At 36.1% G+C, this 19,404-nt stretch overlaps 3 long non-coding RNA genes across 4 annotated transcripts in view; 2 read left to right on the forward strand and 1 right to left on the reverse strand.

The window, feature by feature from the left end:
* LOC105374975 (uncharacterized) overlaps positions 1-4,586 on the forward strand; it is a 36,848-nt gene extending 32,262 nt beyond the window's left edge. The window contains exon 3 of the long non-coding RNA XR_001744048.2: positions 4,510-4,586. This is a non-coding gene — a long non-coding RNA (uncharacterized LOC105374975). The remainder of the gene's footprint in view (positions 1-4,509) is intronic.
* The window catches only part of LOC105374976 (uncharacterized), a 289,589-nt gene that overhangs the window by 111,591 nt on the left and 158,594 nt on the right, over positions 1-19,404 (reverse strand). For both annotated transcript variants that reach the window (XR_001744046.2, XR_007059501.1), the window contains one exon: positions 9,254-9,334. This is a non-coding gene — a long non-coding RNA (uncharacterized LOC105374976). The remainder of the gene's footprint in view (positions 1-9,253; positions 9,335-19,404) is intronic.
* LOC124901276 (uncharacterized) lies at positions 4,664-6,801 on the forward strand. Its single transcript, XR_007059506.1, has 2 exons — positions 4,664-4,765; positions 6,643-6,801. It is a non-coding gene; the product is annotated as an uncharacterized LOC124901276 (long non-coding RNA).

Consider the following 19,404-nt stretch of genomic DNA (forward strand, 5'->3'; position numbering starts at 1 on the left):
TCATTAGAGACCATAGAATTGAAAACTGAGCTTGCGTAAAAACATTTCACCCCTCCTTTTTCTTCCACCAAAGTCTGAACTCCCCAGCCTCCTCACCTCATTTTTTCCTGCTGCTCTGTATTTGTCTGTTTGCATCTGACATGAATAATGCTGCAACCTGGAGAACATGCGGCCCTCTGGTAAGGCACTCACCCAGCTTTTCTAGGATTAATCACAGACTAAAACACTAAATAACATACTGATATATTAACTCCATTAAAATCTAATTCAGTGGCAATAACTTTTAGAAAGCCAACAAAGGGCTTATGAAGAACAAAGTGAGAAAAGACCAAAAAAGGTAAATCAGTGCTCTAACTGAAAGTAAATCAGAATCAAAGACAAGAGTATGAATTAAAAGAGGCCCGGATGGAGTCCCAATCTGTACTACAAACCCATATATTCTTGCAAGATTTATCCTTGAATCTATATATAAGTGTAATCAAATAATATTGATGTGCTCTCAGCTGATGAGAGGCTTTCAAATGTTAGGACATCCTGTTCAAAAGAGCTAGGCAATGTAATGTTGCCAAAGGGATTTCATGTTTGCTTTCAAAGACTCCTATTCATGAGTTTCATTGTGGATATTCATTAATCCATTCCTTTAAATCTGTCTACATGAAGGACGCTCTTCTAGATCAGTGCATAAAGGAATGAAGAAATCAGGCTATATCCAGGTATCCAAGAACTTGCAGGGATAAAGAACACAGGGAATAGCACTGAAAAACACCCTAAAGCAGCAGAGAACAGGGTATTATTCATTTGAGAAGTACCAAGAGGAGACAATGTGAAGACAGAAGAAGGAGAAGGCCCTCTGCAAGCCCAGGAGAGAGGCTCAGAACAGATCCTTCCCTCACAGCCCTCAGGAGGAACCAGCCCTACCCACACCTTGATCTTGGATTTCTAGCCTCCAGAACTGTGAGACAACACATTTCAATTGTGTAATTCACCCAGTTTGTGGTACGTTATTACGGCAGCCCTAGCAAAATACAGATTCTGGATCTGTATGATTGACTGGATCTGGTGTCTGATGCAAGAAATATGGACGAGATTTGTACCAGCAGCAAGGGAAATAGCATGCCAGGAGGCTGGAGCAGGATGAGCCAAGGACCTAGGTGGAAAGTCACTAGAGACTTCAGAGCACAGTATCCAGATGATCAGAGATACTGCCCACATCATCCCCAAAGGTGCCATTTATATGGCTTCAATCCCGATTTGATACAAAGTGGAAAACCTTCAATCCCAAATTGTTTTTCACTGGAAATTTGCCCTCAAATTTGGCAGAGTTTTGGACAAGGATGAAAAAAAGAACTGGTGGAACAATCAAGATCTTTCTGAAAAGTTTTTTTCTCCCACATTGTATATGGCAGTTGGTTAGATTTAGTGAATGATAAGCTTTTAGATAAAAAATGGGAAACTAAGTAAGATAGGCAGCATTTGATTTCATTTAGCTGCTGTCTCTGTCTTAGCATGTCATCAAGAAACACAAATTAATACAGATTGAATGTAGCAAAATTGAAAGACTAGAAGACGAATATTGTACTTTTTCTTGAGCCCCACAAATTGCCTTGGGGTGTGTGTGTGTGTGTGTGTGTGTGTGTGTGTGTGTGTAAACTTGCCTGGATTTTCCCTGGTCTGGTTAATTTAATCTGGGATACTCTCAAATCCTAGTTGGTAAATCTGCTGAACAATGCTGCAAAAGAGCGTCTGTGTGGACCCATAGATGACGATTCACATTCTCACCAGACTACTCACTAACATTGTGACTTCGGGCTACTTCTTTCTTCTGAACTTCAGTCACTTCATCAGTACAAGTGTGAATTTAAAATACTCGCCTTGCTTATCTTAAAACGTTATTGTGAGATCCAGGTGGTATTCAGTAATTGAGAATGTTTAGTAATAGCAAAAATATGATATCAATAAGAGGTCACTGGGCCACTACACTTTAAAAGCATATTAGAAATTGCTGCCACTTTCAGTTTTTGAGGATCAGTGCATTTTTATCTCCTTCTCGTTGATGGCATCAGAATCATTGTTTGTACTGACCTCGTGTTCTTCAACAAATGTTCTGATGTAAATAAAAAATATGATCTTGATACATAGAGTGCTCAAAGCTATTCAAGAGTAGATCCGTAGCTTTGGGTAAATACCAGAAAATTACATATTTGACTAGAGCAAAAGGAAACAAACAAACAAACAAACAAAAAATCAGTGTTTTATACACTCCTGAACATCAGTTACGTCGCATCAGTCATCAAGGAACCAGGTAATTTGCAGATTGGGTAAAACAAGTCTGGAATTTAGGACGTGAATCCACAAAAGGCATCTTAAAATATGCTTGTGAGGATCCTTTGAGACTTTGCTGAAAGTTATAGAAAAGGAAAGAAACAGATTACACTGAACATAGTAATGTTTATCTTGGCCTCTTTCTGACTCTACACTTCTCCCCTACTAATTCACTTGCCTTCTTTAGAAAGTTGGTGCCTTCATGAGGTTTGTCAGAATTCAGGACATCGTAAATTCTCTGAGACAGTTCTTTCCTATTTATTTATTTATTTACTTATTTATTTATGACAGAGTCTTGCTACGTCACCCAGGCTGGAGTGCAGTGGCATGATCTCAGCTCACTGCAACCTGTCTCCCAGGTTCTAGCGATTCTCATGTCTCAGCCTCCTGAGTAGCTGGGATTACAGGCATGCGCCACCATGCCTGGATAATTTTTGTATTTTTAGTAGAGGTGGGGTTTTGCCATGTTGACCAGGCTGGTCTCGAACTCCTGACCTCAGGTGATCTTCCTGCCTTGGCCTCCCAAAGTGCTAGGATTACAGGCGTGAGCCACTGCGCCTGGCCCAAATTCTTTCCCTTTTAATCTGACAATTATGGCTTGAGAGTCTACTTTTGCAAAGCATCATGATAAGAAGTATTTAAAATGTGGAGCTGGAGGCCAGAGGAAGATGTGTATAAACACAAACATTTCTATGACATTTTCAATGTGTTTATTGTGCTCTAGGTCACATGCTAATACAATATTTGAGGACAGAAAATATCAGGACAATGTAGAGTGCCATGAAGCAACACAGACACCTTTTTTTTTTTTTTTTTTTTTTTTAAGAGCATGATTTGGAAAAGAACTATTTGGGGCCAAATTGTGAATGGTCTGAGGGAGTTTGATTTCTTTCTTCTAACCAAGCCCACTGAAAGTCATTGACACAAAAGCTCATTTAACATTAAATGACACAAAAGCTCATTTAACATTAAATGAGCATGTAAGTTGGTAGTCAAGGTTTCAAAGGATAAGTCATGAGGATTTGCACCCAGAGAATGACAGGAAAAAAGGAACACAAGAGAGCTACAACAGAGAGAATCAACATGGCTTATCAATCGAATGGATGTGACCATTGAATGCATGTGACATGAGAAGTGAAGGATCACAGTAATTCCAGATGATGAACCCAAATGAAGGCAAATCTCAAGGAGAAAAGTTGGTGGGAGAAGCAGAACTAAGCACACCAGCTCTTTCTCAGAAAGGTTCTAATCAAGCGATTGATTCTCCCAGAAAAGGAGGGGCAGAGAGAGGTCAATGGTATCAGTCTAATAGGAAGTTCTACCACCTGGAAATGGAAAAGATGTGGTAGTTCCCCCTACCCCACATGGAAATTATAATATTTATTTGAAACAGATACAATGTAAAGAAGCAGGCCAAACCCAGATCCTTATCCTTCATGAACATTCAAACCTGTACCTCCCTCAGCTTCCCCCATCTTAGTCATCGTTATCTCCACACACACAAGCACTCAAGCCAGAGACCTGGAATTCATTCTTAGAATCCTGTGCTTCCATCCGCAGATACTGTTGATCTCATTTCAAAATTGCATCTTATCCATCTCCATGCCTCTATGAATGGCCCAGGTACAGACCATCATCATGTGTCACCTGCACTACTAGAGTAGCTTCCTAACTGGCCTTCTTGCTTCTCCACAAAACAGCAGGGTTGATTTTTAAAAATATAAATCAGATTGTGTCAGTCCCTTCTTAAAATCCTCCAGAGTGAGCCTCCAAATTCTAACCACAGCTCATCAGGAGTCAGGTCGTCCGGATCCAGCCCTCCCATGCTCAACCTTCGTCTCCTGCCATTCTCCTAGCTGCACACTGAGACACAGTCACACTGGCCTTCTTTCTCTTCTCAGTGCCAAGCTCCTCAGGCCTCAACAAGCTGGCACTTTCTACCCCTATTCCCTTGAATGCTTTGTCATGGAACTTTGAGAGGCTGGATCTGACTTATAATTTCAAGTCTCTGTTGAAATGTCATTTCCTCAGAGAAATCTTTTAGGCTTCACAATCTCTAGTAAGTCCTCTGTCTCACCGCTCACTCACTTTCCATATCACCTTGTCTTATTGTCTTTAAAGTATTTATCACTATGTTAAAGCATCTTGTTTATGGATGTGTTTATCATTCCTCATTTTCCCCTGTAGTCTCGCCCCACAGCAAATTAGAAGTTAATTTGCATGAGAGCAAGAGCCTTTGCTGTCCTGTTTTACATCGTTGATGCCTAAATGAAAAGAATGAAAGAAGATGGAGAGATCTGAGTACAACCATCAAGTGAAGGCGTAACCAAGGGAGGCTTGAGCATACACGTAGACAGAGGGGAGGAATCTTGTGGAATAGAAGAGGATAGAGACACAGAAGAGAGGATTCATTGGTGAAATGAAGCCTCATGCATGTTAATGGGTAAATAACTTGAGTTGAGATTTATCCCGGGAAGACAAAATCCAGTTCTTTCACTCAGCTAGGAAACACCCCTGCATCCCCTTAGGAATCTGCTCTCCTTTAGAAGCAATTATCTGACTTTGCTGTGGCTGAAAAACAACACTTTGGCCAAAAGGAAGTTTCTCATTGATCAACCCTATAGCTTTAGATGTCCCTGACACTGGCCCTCAAATTCTCAATGTCTGGTTAAGGACTAGTCATAACAAAGAAGATGATTTCGTCTTAACATATGCACAGAGAACACCTGGGCAGGGCAGAGTTCCTTAGCTTAGTTGAGCTGTTAAATTTGGAGGTATGACTTTAATAAGGATTTTATAAGTAAACCTAAAAATTGTGTGGGCCAATCACCACCCTCTACCCAACCTATTTTACAAATGATGTGCAAAATTCAAGAGGTTGACTGAAACTCTTCCTCCCGATTTATGATTGAAGACTGTTCCCATTCCTCATGCCATGCAGAAAAAGCCAAAAACTTTGCTTTTGTCTATCCTTCTTCCTTCTCTGCCAAAGAAGGCATAAAAATGTGCTATAAGCTCGTGTTTGGGATGGGGGAAATTACTCCTGTGGAGGTCTCCGGAATGACATGAGTATTTCACTTCAAATTCAGCCAAACCTGAGGAAATGCTTTGCCAAGTTTCTCAGGTCTCAGTCCTTTTTCTTGGTGCACTGAGTCACATCTCTTTCCAAGTTTACCAAGAATACGTCCCCTAGTAAAGGCAGAAAACAATGGCAGGATGGTAAAGCCAATCTATCTGTATATGCAGTGCAGTAATAAAGCTCTCTGGTTCATTTTTCATGCCTAAACCACCTTTTAGAGTTTTCAAATACAGTGATTTCTCTTTGTTCTTAGCAGTTGAAGTTCTGCATATGATACAGCATTAAAACAAATCTTTCATACATTTCCTTTGTCACCTGCTCGGAATCTTTGGGAGATCAAGGCTTCTTTCTGAGCACTAGGAAGTGCCTCCTCTCTCTAAGGAAACACATCAAAGACAAAAGCCCCCTCCTCCACAAATAATGAAAGAAATCAGAATATAAGCCAAAACTGAAATGGGAATGTGAGATGCTAAATGCATTAGTCACGTGTTTGTTTTCAGAGCACCTCATTTCCTGTGGCTTCTTCTCCCATGACTGGTTTCCACAAGGTTGACTAAGACCAAAGAGTGACACCGTAGTGTGATGTACTGGGCTGTCCCATTTGTCAACTTTCAATTGCTCATGAAAAAAGAGAGTTAACTCCTTCACCACTGCCTCCTCTTTTCTCTTCCTACCCTTCTCAGAATACAAGAATTTCTTATTATCTTAGAGATCCTTGCTGCTGCTTTCTTGTGACGTTTTGTCTACTAGAATCTAATTGAAAAGTGCTACTGTTCCTCATCCCATTTTATCCCCCAGAAAACTGGCAGTCTTGACAATTTTCTGACATTTCCAAACAGCTCAGGCTCTTCCTGCCAACTCCCAGTAGCTCTCTAAACCTTTTTAATCCCATAGAATGCAAACTAATCTACTGAGAGAAAGGCACCAGGCCTGGTCTGGCAGCTGAAGCTAGGAATGTCAGAGTGGGGAAAATGATAAATACACCTGCCACAGAGAAAGGGAGAGACACAGCCAGGCTCAGCAACACAATAAGGTTATTTAATGTACAGAGATAGGCAGGACACTCTCCAGTACCCTCGAGTGCAAATTGCATGGAGGTGATTTGTTCAGAAATAGAAATGACAGCTATTAACAATGTGCACAGTCTCGAGGTGGCTGTGTTAGGGAAGACACAGAGATAAGGGGCAGAAATCCACCTGTGTCCCCTCAGACCACTCTCAGTTTTCCTCTGTTTGTTCCAGGGTTACTGAAGTCAGTAGCACCTTGGGATCTACATCTCCATGCTGTGGAAGGAGGGGAATGGCTGCCTCCTAGATGGGAACCACTGGATTAAGTTAATATCAGGCTGCTCCAGAAGCAACGAAGTGACTTTGAGTAAAAGTATCTTTCTGTGCTCTCAACTCATCTCTGATCAGGAGTGGTGTGCTGGGCAAAGCATTGAGTTCAGAGTTAAATTTGAATTGGAATATTGTGAAAACATTTCTACCATCTTGTTTTTTGAGACTAGGTCTCACTTTATCATTTAGGCTGGAGTGCAGTGGGGTGATCTCGGCTCACTCCAACCTTGACCTGCCAGGTTTAAGCTATCCTCCTGCCTCAGCCCCCCAAGTGGCTGTGACTACAGGTGCACAACATCCCTCCCAGCTAATTTTTTGTATTTTTTGTAAAGACGGAGTTTCACCATGTTGCCCAGTCTGGTCTCAAACTTCTGAGCTCAAGCCATCCTCCCGCCTCAGCCTCCCAAAGTGCTAGGATTAAAAGTGTAAGCCACTGCACCCAGCCATCTACCATCTTTCTTTTTCTTTGAGTCCATGACACCAGGTCTATGGCCTGATGTGTCCACCTAATGAAGATATGGACACATGCTTTTAAGTGCACCTGAAGAAGGGCAAGCAGGCACACACAGACACAGAACTACAAGCCTCTGCTTTTGAATTAGAGACAATATATCTACAGATAGGAACTTGGAAAAGAGCTAAGGAAAAAAAATCACAGGTTAAACTAAATAGAGGTTTTCAGGGTTGCCATAGCCAAATTTTTCTAAGATTATAAACTCCTAGAGGGCAGAGACCATATCGCTTTACTTAATTTTAAACCAGAAAGCATGAAACTATGCAGAGTTAGGTAGTTGAGAAGTTATTTGGATGACAATGACAGTAATGACAAGATAGCTGAAACTGTTAAGCCCAAATGAAATTATGGCTTAAGCAATTTAATCATTTTCTTGGAGCAAAATGAGATTGGTTGATACATAAATGTATAATGACAGACTGAATACTGGAAACTAGACTGTTAGGCACCGTGGGAATATTGAACTTAAGTAAAAAGCCAGTCTTTCCTCTCCCATCAACAGAGACAGATCAAATAGTGACTAGACCCTCAGATGAAACCAGAGATTCCATATCTTTCTCCTTCTTTTCTTGCAAAAGGAATATGACCAAAATTTTATCAATTTTACCTAGTTAAAAAATAATGTAGCCTAATATCAATTATTAAAAAATAATGTAGCCTAACGCATCAATTACCTTTCAAAATACTGGCCTTAAAGAACCTAGTTTTTTAAAGTACAATCTGAATTCCTATATTTTCTCATGAAAAAATTATATTGCTTCACGTGTAAACAGTATAATTGCAAGCTATTCTGAAGCTTACACTATAACCTTAAAGAAGTTGACTTTACAGAAAATTTTCTAATAATATAAATATTAGTCATAGATACATTTTTCACTTGATAATTATTTTTCTTTGACATAAAGGTCAATATTTTTCAATGCTGTAGTCATCAATTTCAAAGGAAATATTTGTGTGCTGCTTCCTGTTTCTGTTCTAAGCAGCCAATGGGCCAACACAGCAGCTGGCTATGAGGTCAACAGAAACTAACATCTGATGCAGTATATTAGCAATTACTACAGATTCTAGAACCAGGCATTGGTGAGTTTTGGTCAATGCTCAGAGAACAGGCAATTGAACTCTTTACAGAGCTTTCCATTTTTGAGTTCTTTCTAGAGATAGGTTTTGCTGGAAAAAAAACAAGTCATACTGACTTCATGAAAGAGGGAAAGAAAATCTTAAGTATGTGAGTATTTATAGAATCTTTAATATGCATCTCTACATATGGTCTATGTGTATATGCATGTGAGAAAAGATTCCTGGTGTTTCTCAAGTTAGTCTAGGTTTTGAGAGTTTCTAAAAACAAGAAGACCGATCTTGAGAATTAAACAAAAAGTACTATCTTATTATAAAATTCTATTCTCTATTATGCAGAAATCCATTATATAATACACAGAACTCTGCCTTCATCAAATCTATAGAACAGTCTATGGAATTCTATCTCCAAAGATGAATCTGTGAGGTTTCAAAGGCATTGTGTCAGAATTATATAAAACGTTTGCTGAAAAAATATCAGGGAGTTCATCAAACTTAACCAGTTATTTAGCACTTAAAAAGCACCCAGAATATCTAAACTAACCCTTAAAAATCAAATTATATCAAAATGTTTTAGAATTGTCATAACCTCAGGTACATGTCTAATGAGACAATATTGAAATATCCAAATAACACATACTAACCTTAAATAAATCCATCTCAGTAATATTATTTAAAAATTAACCAGAAAAACATACCCTTCACTCTAGGTCATCTGGAGAGCTCAGTAGCCTTCTTCTTACTGAGATAAATTTTCAGAAGTCATTAATAACAATCTCTTATCTAACTGAGAAGGATACGACTTTTACTGCAAGGAATGATATGTGCTCCAGAAACGCAAAACAGACATTAGAAGTATCAAACACTTACTTTTGAGTTATGAATAAATAACATATTTTTGAAAAGAATGCATTATGATTCACTTACCTGTTACTTTAGCTTCATATTTACTGCAGACTCCATAAATTTTGACTGCAGTTTCACTGGAGTGTTGCTGGTCAGTGAAATCTGTGAAAAAGCACAGAGCAAACAGTCATGAGACAAAGTAATATTTGAATAGAGTAATGCCTTATTTTAACAACAGAAAGTTTAAGTATAAACTTATTTATTCATATGAACAATAAAATCACTCCTCTTGTACAAGATAAAAGTCTGTTAAGTAAAAGCAACAGTTCATATAAACTGATGAGAATTGACAAAAATTTGGTCTCACAATGTCCACTGCAATAAGCAAGGATTATATGGTTTGGGTCGAAGTTCACATACTTAAACACAAGCATATGAAACTTGAGATGATGCTGATGTAGTCGATTAAGTTTAGTCTGGTATCAGTCATTAAGAAAACATATTATCTTTACTAACGTATTATAGAAAGCAACAATAACCATCTGTGTAAAATTCATAATTTTGTAAGATCCAGAACATAATGATAATCATTTTCTGTTTAAGACACAGGTCAGTAATTCAAAGACTGTTTCCATATCCAGATAATATCACTGTAGCTGCAATTATTTGCCTTGGCCATTACCTGAGTTCTGACCTAGGATTATTAATCCTTTATTTACTCTCCATAAATGTTATTTTAAATGTACAAGAGACCATTTTCAAGCTTTTAATTAGAACACGTCCCACTGTTACTTCTCAAGTGTGGTTCTTCATTTGTAAGTATGAAACCATTTCTCTAGTTACCTTATTAGTAAACTGGAGTGATCTTTGAATGGGTTTTTAGGCATCTAAGGCAAATTAAGAAAAAACAGTAACATGAAAAGATGCCTTTAATTTACCACTAAGTGAAAGAGGGGGAATATGATTTGTATAAATTATGATTATAAACAATATTAAGATCCTAGGCATGAAAAAATACCTGAAAATGCAATAGAATTACCTCAGTTGTGCTAAATTGGTAAAACTGTATTTCCTTTTTCTAGATCCATTTTAACAATATAATTCTTCCAATCCACAAACATATTTTCTCATTTATGTAAGAGAATTTCATACATAAATTTCTTTCATCAATGCTTCACAGTTTTCCATGTATAGATCTTTCATTTCCCTGGTTAAATTTATTTCTAAACACTTTTTCTATGGTACTGCAATTGAGATTGTTTTCTTGGTGTTTTTTCCAGATAGATCACTGTTGGTATGAAGATATGCAACTGATTTTTACATGTTGATTTTGTATCCTGCTGCTTTACTGAATTCATTTATTAGTTCTAATTGTTGAGTCTTTAGAGTTTTTGACATATAGGATCAGGTCATCTGAAGACAGGAATAATATTACTTCTTCCTTTCCAATTAGAATGCATTTTCTTTCTTTTTCTTGCCTGACCGAGCTTGCTGGTACTTTTAGTACTATGTTGAACAGAAGTGGCCTGTTCATAAATGGACTTTATTATGTCGAAGAAATCATCTTCTATATCTATTTTGTTGACAGTTTTTTTTTTTATAATGAAAGAAGATTGAACTTTGTTGAATGCTTTTTCTGTATCTATGGAGATGATCGAGTCATTTTTATTTTTCATTCTGTTAGTAGGTTACTAACACTGACTCTAATGGTAACTTTTGCTAGAGTCTTATTTGGTTTTAAGAGACCACTAAGCAGCCCTAAATGATTTGGTCCCAAAGACTTAACATAGGTTACTCCAAATTCTCTTTGAGTTTGAGTATGAGCTAGAGAAGGTCATTATTTGATGGATATAGCCAACTTAAAAATGTAATTATACCTTGCCATAACTAACTCCGACCTTTCTAAATACTCGTGCTTAAAATTTTGTTGAAATAATATTAAATGAATCATTTAAAAGGCCTTGCAATCATGTAGACCAACATATTTTATTTTGTTTATGAGTCTTGTTTTTTGATATAGTTTTTCATTGTTCTAATATATTAATCCATAATTTTAGGCATCTGTGAAAATGAGTGATTACCAGAATAATCATGTCAAGTCACTGAACCCTTCTGTCATATAAATAATCAAGGAAAAACTCATTTGGCTTTTTTGTTTGTTCATTTTTTTTCTTCAGTAACCTTATTCATTTTATCATGAGGGTAGCATAATCTTCTGAATGTACCACACTGGTTGGGAGTGAAAATGTAAGGTTGAAAGAGTGAATTCATGGGTGATTGGTAAATTTTGATTATTAGAGCAAGCTGTTAAACTCCACTTTAGATTCTAAATTTGATAACAGATTATTTAATTAGCACAAACAATGCTAAAGAGCTGGTGATGTTTTAATACAGTAGCTTACTCATGTTAAGATAAATCTCTATACACTATTGGGGACTGTAAACTACCTATGTTGCTGACAGACTTCAAAGGGCCATCTTTAGGTCTCCATGTCCATTAACAGTTTGGCATCCAATTATGTTTGCTTGTAGGAATTTAGAGTCCATAATTCATCATTATTTTTCAAGAGAAAGGGTGAAACTGATGCTCAGAGGTTAAATGATAAGTCCTGGGCTACATAGCTATTTAAAAGAATGGATCAGAGCTTTTAGTTTGAGTTCAACACATAAACAGCTTGGAAGTTGTCACCCTGAACTTTGCAACAAGAAAAAAAGCTAACCTAACTAAAAATCAATAATGTTTCTTCGATAAATCTGAGGACTGTAGTCACAGAACACACTACCACCCTGAAATCTAAAGAGACAGATGCATCCATAGAGATACAGCTCCTAAAGCTTGCCTGTCTGGAGCAGAAGCCACGGCAATCCCTAGCTGATAGGAATGCTTAAATTGCTATTTTGATGAATTGAGAGAGGTCAAGTTCAGACTAGTGTAAGAGTGAGAAATTCTTGGGAATAGCAGTCTTAGTGAGGTCCCACACATATGTGAGCTTTTGTTACAGAAATCTCTCAAGACCTTATGATGCGGATCTGAGAAAGAACTCCTCCTAGTGTAGGCTGGGGAAGGGATGAGTAGTAATCCTAAAACCCACACAGATTCTACCCCCTAATAAGAGCCTAGTTTATAGAGGTAAGGAATTCAGCAGAGGGCAAATGTAAAACCTTATCTTAGTTCAGGGAAGGACATTCTAGTTTGGAACAGGACTTCAAGTAAATAGATTGGGAATGCCACGGCCAGGGAAGCGAGTGAGAGAACGGGGGATAAAAGCTATGCTCTTGGAAGAGGAACAGAAATACTTCTGAAGGCTTTACTTCTGAGACACGGGCCTATTAAAAGATTGAGTCCTAATAAGAAGAGTATAAAGTCCTCCTTCCCCATTCCACACCCTACCTCAACACCAACAGGCCTCTTAAATAATAAGAATGAATTATAGCCGAATGGCACAGATTTATATTTGGAGGCTTCAACACTCTTTTGTCAGTTACTGAAAGATCAAGTAGGCAGAAAATCAGTAAGATTATAGATGACCTGAATAGCACATCAATCAACTTGATCTAATTGACAATTATGGAATACGCCACTCAACAGTGGCAGATTATCCATTCTTCTTAAGCTCACATGGAGCATTCATCAAGATAGACAACATTCTGGTCCACAAAATGCATATTCATACTTTTTTAGAACATAGAAATCATACAGAGTACGTTCTCAAGCCACAGCAGAATTAAACTAAAAATCAAGAAGTGAAAGACAGCTGGAATATTCCCATATATTTGGCAATTAGATAGCACACTTCTAAATAACCCGTGGAATAAAGAAAAAGTCTCAGGAGAGCGTAAAAAAAATTTTTATTTTAATGAAAATGAAAATGTAGCCTCAAAACTTGTGGAATGCAGCTAATAATATATTTATAATACTTATTATATATTATATTAGAAAAGAAGAAATATTAAAAACAATAATCTCAGCTTCCATTTTAGGAAACTAGATAAAAAAGAGCAGGTCAAACCTAAAGAGAGCTGAAGAAAAAAATAATAAAATTTAAAGCAGAAGTCAATAAAATTGAAAACAGAAAGTGAGTAGGGGACATCAATTAACTCAAATTCTGTTTCTTCAAAAAGATGAATAAAAATGATAAATCTCCAGCCAGGCTAGCAAAGAATAAGAGAAAAAGGAATACTCGACCATATTAGGAATGAATGAGAGGGATAATTACTACTGATTCACTGCACATTTAAAAGGTAAGAGAATACTATAAAAATTTTACACACACAAATTTGATAACTTAGATGAAATAAATTGATGACCTGATGGCACAAACTACAAAATTCTACTCAAAAAGAAATAGATAACCTGAATAGCTTTATGTCTATTAAAGAAGGTGACATCGTAGTCAAAAATCTTCCAAAAACAAAAAAGGAAACAGTTGGTCCAGCTGGATGGTAAACTTTACCAAACTTTTACATAAGAAACTAATTTTACACAATTTTTGTCAAAAAATAGAGGCAAGAAAACCTTTAAACTCATTTTATGAGGACAGTGTTACCCTAATACCAAAACCCAATAAAGACACTGCAAGAAAATAAAACCAGAGAGTAATTTTTAATGAATATAGAGATAAAAATCCTCAACAAAATACGAGCTAGTCAAATCTATTAATATATAAACAGGACAATGCCTCATAACCAAGTGGAATTTACAACAGGAATGCAAGGCTGGTTTAGCATTCAAAAATTAATCAATGTAATCGATTAGATGACAGACTGAGAAAAACAATATGATTGTATCAATAGATTTTTATAAAGAGCATTCAACAAAATGAAAGACCAACTCATAATAAAATGCATGCAAAACTAGAAGCAAAAGGGAATGTTCTTAACGTAATAAAGAGGATATACTAAAAATCTACAGCTAACAGCATATTTATGAGACGTTGAACACTTTCCCATTAACATCAAGAACAAGGAAAAGCTGTTCTCTCTTATTATTCCTATTCGAATTCAAAATAAAATCCATAGGTAGTGCCAGTAAGGCAACAAGAAGAAATACAACTATCTTCTCCTGCTGATGAGATGATGGTCTTTGTAATAACCCTACAGAATCTACTGAAAAAGACATTTCTGAGACTAATAAGCAAGTATAGCAAGGTTGTGGGATGAAAGGTAAATCTTCAGATCTAATTGCTTTCTTTCTTATATACCAATAATGAACCACTGGAATGTAATATTTAAAAAACTATTTGAAATAGCACTGAAAATGAGAGTTACATAAATCTAAAATATATATATGTATAGAATCTATATGCAGAAAACACTTGTAAAAGAAATCAAATATCTAAATAAATGAAGAGATATTCCATATTCATGGATTAGAAGATGCAATATTTTTAAGATGTTAACTTTCCCTAATTTGGTCTATAGACTCAACAGTCTCAAACAAAGTCCTAAGAATTTTTTATAGATGTCAACCAACTGATTGTAAAATGTATATGGAAAAGCAAAAGTCCTCTAATAGTTTCTCCTAGGTCCATTATTCTTCTAAAAAAGAACAAAGTTTACATTACTGAATTTCATGACTTACTATAAAGTTATCAGAATCAAGATAGTGTGGTATTGGACAAAAAAAAAAAAGATATGTAGATGAGTAGGGTGTAGAGCTCAGAAGTAGACTCACACAAATATAGCCAACTGATTTTGACAAAGGTTCAAAGGCAATACAATAAAATAATGATAATCTGTTCATCACATGATACTGCAACACTTGGATGTCCATACACACACAAAGAACTCAAAGACCTCAAAATTGCCCAAAAATTAAATAAAAGTGGATCAAAGACACAACTATACAATGCAAAATATAAAAATTCTAGAAAAAAAGCTGCATGATCTTAGACTTGGTGATGAATTTTTAAATACAACACCAAAAACATGATCTATGAAATAAAAATGATTCAATGGACTTCATTAAAATTAAAAACATTTGCTCTGTGAAACTCAGTACCAAAAGAATGAAAAGACAGGCCACAGGCAGAGACAATGTATTTGCAAATCACAAAGCGAATAAAGGATTTATGTCTAGAATATACACAGAATTTTAAAACTCAATAATATGGAAACAAAGACAAAATTGAAAAAGTAAGTAGATGATTGGAACAGATAGATACTTCACAACAGAAGGTGTACAGATAGCAAATAACATATGAAAAGATGCTCAATACCATTTGTCATTAGGGAAATACAAATTAAAACAATGAGATGCCACTACACACCTAATGGAATAGGTAAAAGGGGTTGGGTACGGGAACATGAAAATACTAATTGCTGGCAAAAATGAGGAACAATAGGAACTTTCATGCTGCAATTTTGGAAAACACTTTCAATTTCTTACAAAGCTAAACATAGTCTTAATATTTAATCTAGCAATAATTCTTCTAGATAGTTCAAAACGATTTGAGAACTTATATCCACAAGAACAAAAACGCTGCATGTGAATATTTTTTCAATTTTATTTATAATTGTCAAAGACTAGAAGCAACCAAGATGTTCTTCAATAAGTGAGTGGATAAACAAACTGTGGTATATCCATACAATGGAATACTGCATAATAATAATAAAAAATGAGCTATCAAGCCATATAAAGTCATGGATGACTCTTAAATGAGTATTCCTACGTGAATAAAGCCAGAAGGCTATATACTGCAGGGTTCCAAGGCAAAAACTATAAAAATGTAAAACAGGTCAGAGGTTACCAAGGTTTGGGGAAGCTTTTGGATAAACATGCAAAACATGAAGGATTTTTAGGGCAGTGAAACTATTTTATATATTACTACCATGGTGGATGCTGCAATAACCCTGTGTAATAACCCACTAACAATAGTACAAAGAGTGAATCAATAAAAGGAACCAGGCCTCCTTGAAGAAATAGATAATGCCAGGGCTGGGACAGAGAATAAACAAGATGATCCTGAAGCTTTATGTAGTGCCAGAAATTATGGAAGTGCTCAGAAAACGCAATGATGGGTGCGTGTCAAAGCAACACTGGAAATATCTCTCAATGGTCCAAGCTAGAACAATCTGATCAATAAAATAAATAATATGGTATTGGATTATAACCCACAGTATACAGTAAATATCCATGAGTCAATACTGATATAAGTCAGTGACAGAAATGTATTGTGTCAATGGAGATGTACACAATTCTATCAATGAAGATGTACACAAAACCTCCCAGAGAAATGCCAAATAATTTTTGTAAATGTTCATCCCTCAAAGTATTTACACAAAACTCTCTACTTAGTGCACTGCACACTAAGTACAGTATGGAGGAGGGGGAAAAAGAAACTTTACAGTGCAGAAACATGACAGATGCTACTTCACCCAACTGGTCAATATTAACATTGACAAATCACATTGATAACATGTACCTTTGATGATACGATAGAACAGTAGTTTTCCCCTGTGAACTTCCTGCCTCAAACCCATAACCCCAACCCATTAACCATGAGAAAAAACATCAGAAAAAAACATGAGGGACATTCTACCTGACATTGGAGATTAAATTTTTCAAATCAAGAGGGCATTAAAGGGATCTTCTAAATAAATGCAGTGATGAAGAGGTTCCACTTTGTGGGTGCCTGTAGCTTTTCTCCATTAATTCACAAAACTGTCAGATCTTCCAAAACAAGGTAAGTGTGAACAATCCTTATTTTAAAAGAGGAACTAAATGGAACATGATGACTAAATGCAATGTGGTACCTTGGACAGGATCCTGGAATGGAAAAAAAAATAGAGAAAAAATGGTGACATCTGAATAAAGCATGGACTTCGGTTATAATAATATATCAACATTAATTCATTAACTGGGACAAATGTACCATAGTAATTTTAACAACAGTGAAAACTGGCAGCTGAATATACAGGAACTCCGTAATATACTTGTAACTTCACTAAAAAAAAAAAAAATGTGGGGCCCAGTGCCCTAACTCAGTTCATTTGCTTTTTAGAAAATATCACACTAGCCTGTCTCAACTCATCCAGCCATTTTTAAATGGATCGATGTATCAATTTATCTTTGTTTGGTATTAAATTTTATTGTTTCTGGAGTGCTGGGCACATAGCAGTCACTCAGTTTCCTGAATGCTAGAAAAGCATCTTCAAGTTCCTGAACAAATATATTATTTTAAGAGAAAAAAGTTGCAGGCATAAACAAATGAAACCTCTTCATCATTGCATTTATTTAAAAGCATCCTTTAAGGCTCTACTTATTTGAAAAAATTAACCCTCATTAATTTTGCATAACACAGCACAGAGGCCAGAAACCATGTTTTCTCAGGAAAAAAAAAAACTTGTTCCTATTAAAATCACAGTAAAAATCACTAGATGTTTTTAGATGGGAGAAAGCAAAAGAATAATACAGGCAAGCTTATAAAATTGCTGAGTTGAAGGGCTCATAAAGGTTTTTCAATTACAAAAGTAATCCTCGGGTAGAAGAGAATTCCAGATTCTGGAGCTCATGTCTAAGAAATTTCTTTTTCCCTTGAGCTTAACCTGTCATTGACAGGCAGCTGTTTTAACTAAATGGCTGAGATAAATGGAGGAGTTACAGGTTTCACCTGCCTCTGCAAAGTCCCAATTCACAAAAGGTCTTAAAGAATTAGGATTTCAGGGCATATAATCACAGAATCATTGAATAATTCAAGTTGTGAAGCTCAATATGCAGATAACATTTCAGAAACATTCATCTCAGTATTCCATGTGGATAACTGAATAATAATAATACACTGCTTACTATTACTTAATTCTGGTAAATTCATTAACAATTTCTATTTTGCCAGTCTGGAAAAATTAGAAAATAAAAATAAAAATGACCTTCCCTATCTTTCATCTATAATAAAATATGGGAATATTACCCTTCAGAAGAAGCAGGAGAAGCCATGATCTCTTTGCATAAGTAATGGTATTAGAACATCTTCCTTGTATTTTAAATACGGAGATCTATCTGGGATCTTTTCTCTCAGAGTTCACCTTCCTTTTATTCACCACTTCCTTTATGAGAATAGGAAATACATTGAATGGAAGCTGGCACAAAAGATAGTTTTGGGAATGGATTAGAAAATCCCCAGTTTATATGGTGCATTGTATTTCATTTCCTAGTTATATGCTTAAGATGCTTATGTTTAAACATTTTATAGCTTCCTCTTGTAAAGCCCTCTCTCTTTTAGTTAAGTACCTTGAAGCCAAGATCTTACATTAAAGTAGAATCTAATTAGACCTTTCAATTCAGAGTGGCTGCTGAACTCTTTTAGCTCCATTATAGAAATGTACAGTAAAACCCCTTTTTTTCCTCTCCGTGGTGAAAATAGCAGTTATCTTCAAGAAGAAGAAGAAGAAGAAAAAAAGACATGAATTATCACACTTCAATTTAAGCACAAGGCTCAGGTAGCTGACCCAGCCTCTTTGTCCTTTTATGTAAGAAGGAAGGTGGTTTTCAAATTTTGAGGCAGCAACTGGGAGTGGGGATGTAGAGAGAGAGCATTCTCATTGCTTTTACACCCTTAAATACACCAAATCTAAAATGCCTTCACATTGAAAGCATGAAAATTGCAGTAACTACTTCAATAAGCAAGTCGTTTAAATATAATTTCTGGCAGCATATATATATATTCACAGGGAAAATGAGTTTAGAAAGACAGTATGTAGTTTTATAAAAAGGAAAGCATAAAATTCTAAATATCCTTGCCAGTGTGTATCCATGAAAGTAATGTCATTAGAAAGAAAAAAGAAGAATTAACTATTGACTAGGATTTGTATTGCTTCCTAACATACATTTGGCATCAAAGAAGCTTTGGGAAAGGGGTAGAAAACATTATAGCAGAAATAGCTCTCATCAATACCAAATGAAGCATGTCAAGCTTACAAGGAGGAACCAGATAGAATTGAGGATGTAAAGGGAGGATGGGCAATTCTAATATGGTCAAATCAGAATGCCCTGCAATACTTCTGAATGAAATAAACTTTGAGATGATGCCCACAAAGATGACGTACTGGATAATGAAGAGTAAAAAGAACAGCCTGCAACCCTCACAAAGCACCAGAGCTACCATAACGATTTTGCACCTTACTCTGTGATCCTTGCCATTATTTAAAAAAAAAAAAAAGCAAAAGACCAGATATTGTCTTTACTCAGGGTGACTAATGTAGGATGTTAATAGACTAGAGGTCTCATACAACAA

This window comes from Homo sapiens, chromosome 6, assembly GCF_000001405.40.
Source record: "Homo sapiens chromosome 6, GRCh38.p14 Primary Assembly".
Taxonomy (NCBI): domain Eukaryota; kingdom Metazoa; phylum Chordata; class Mammalia; order Primates; family Hominidae; genus Homo; species Homo sapiens.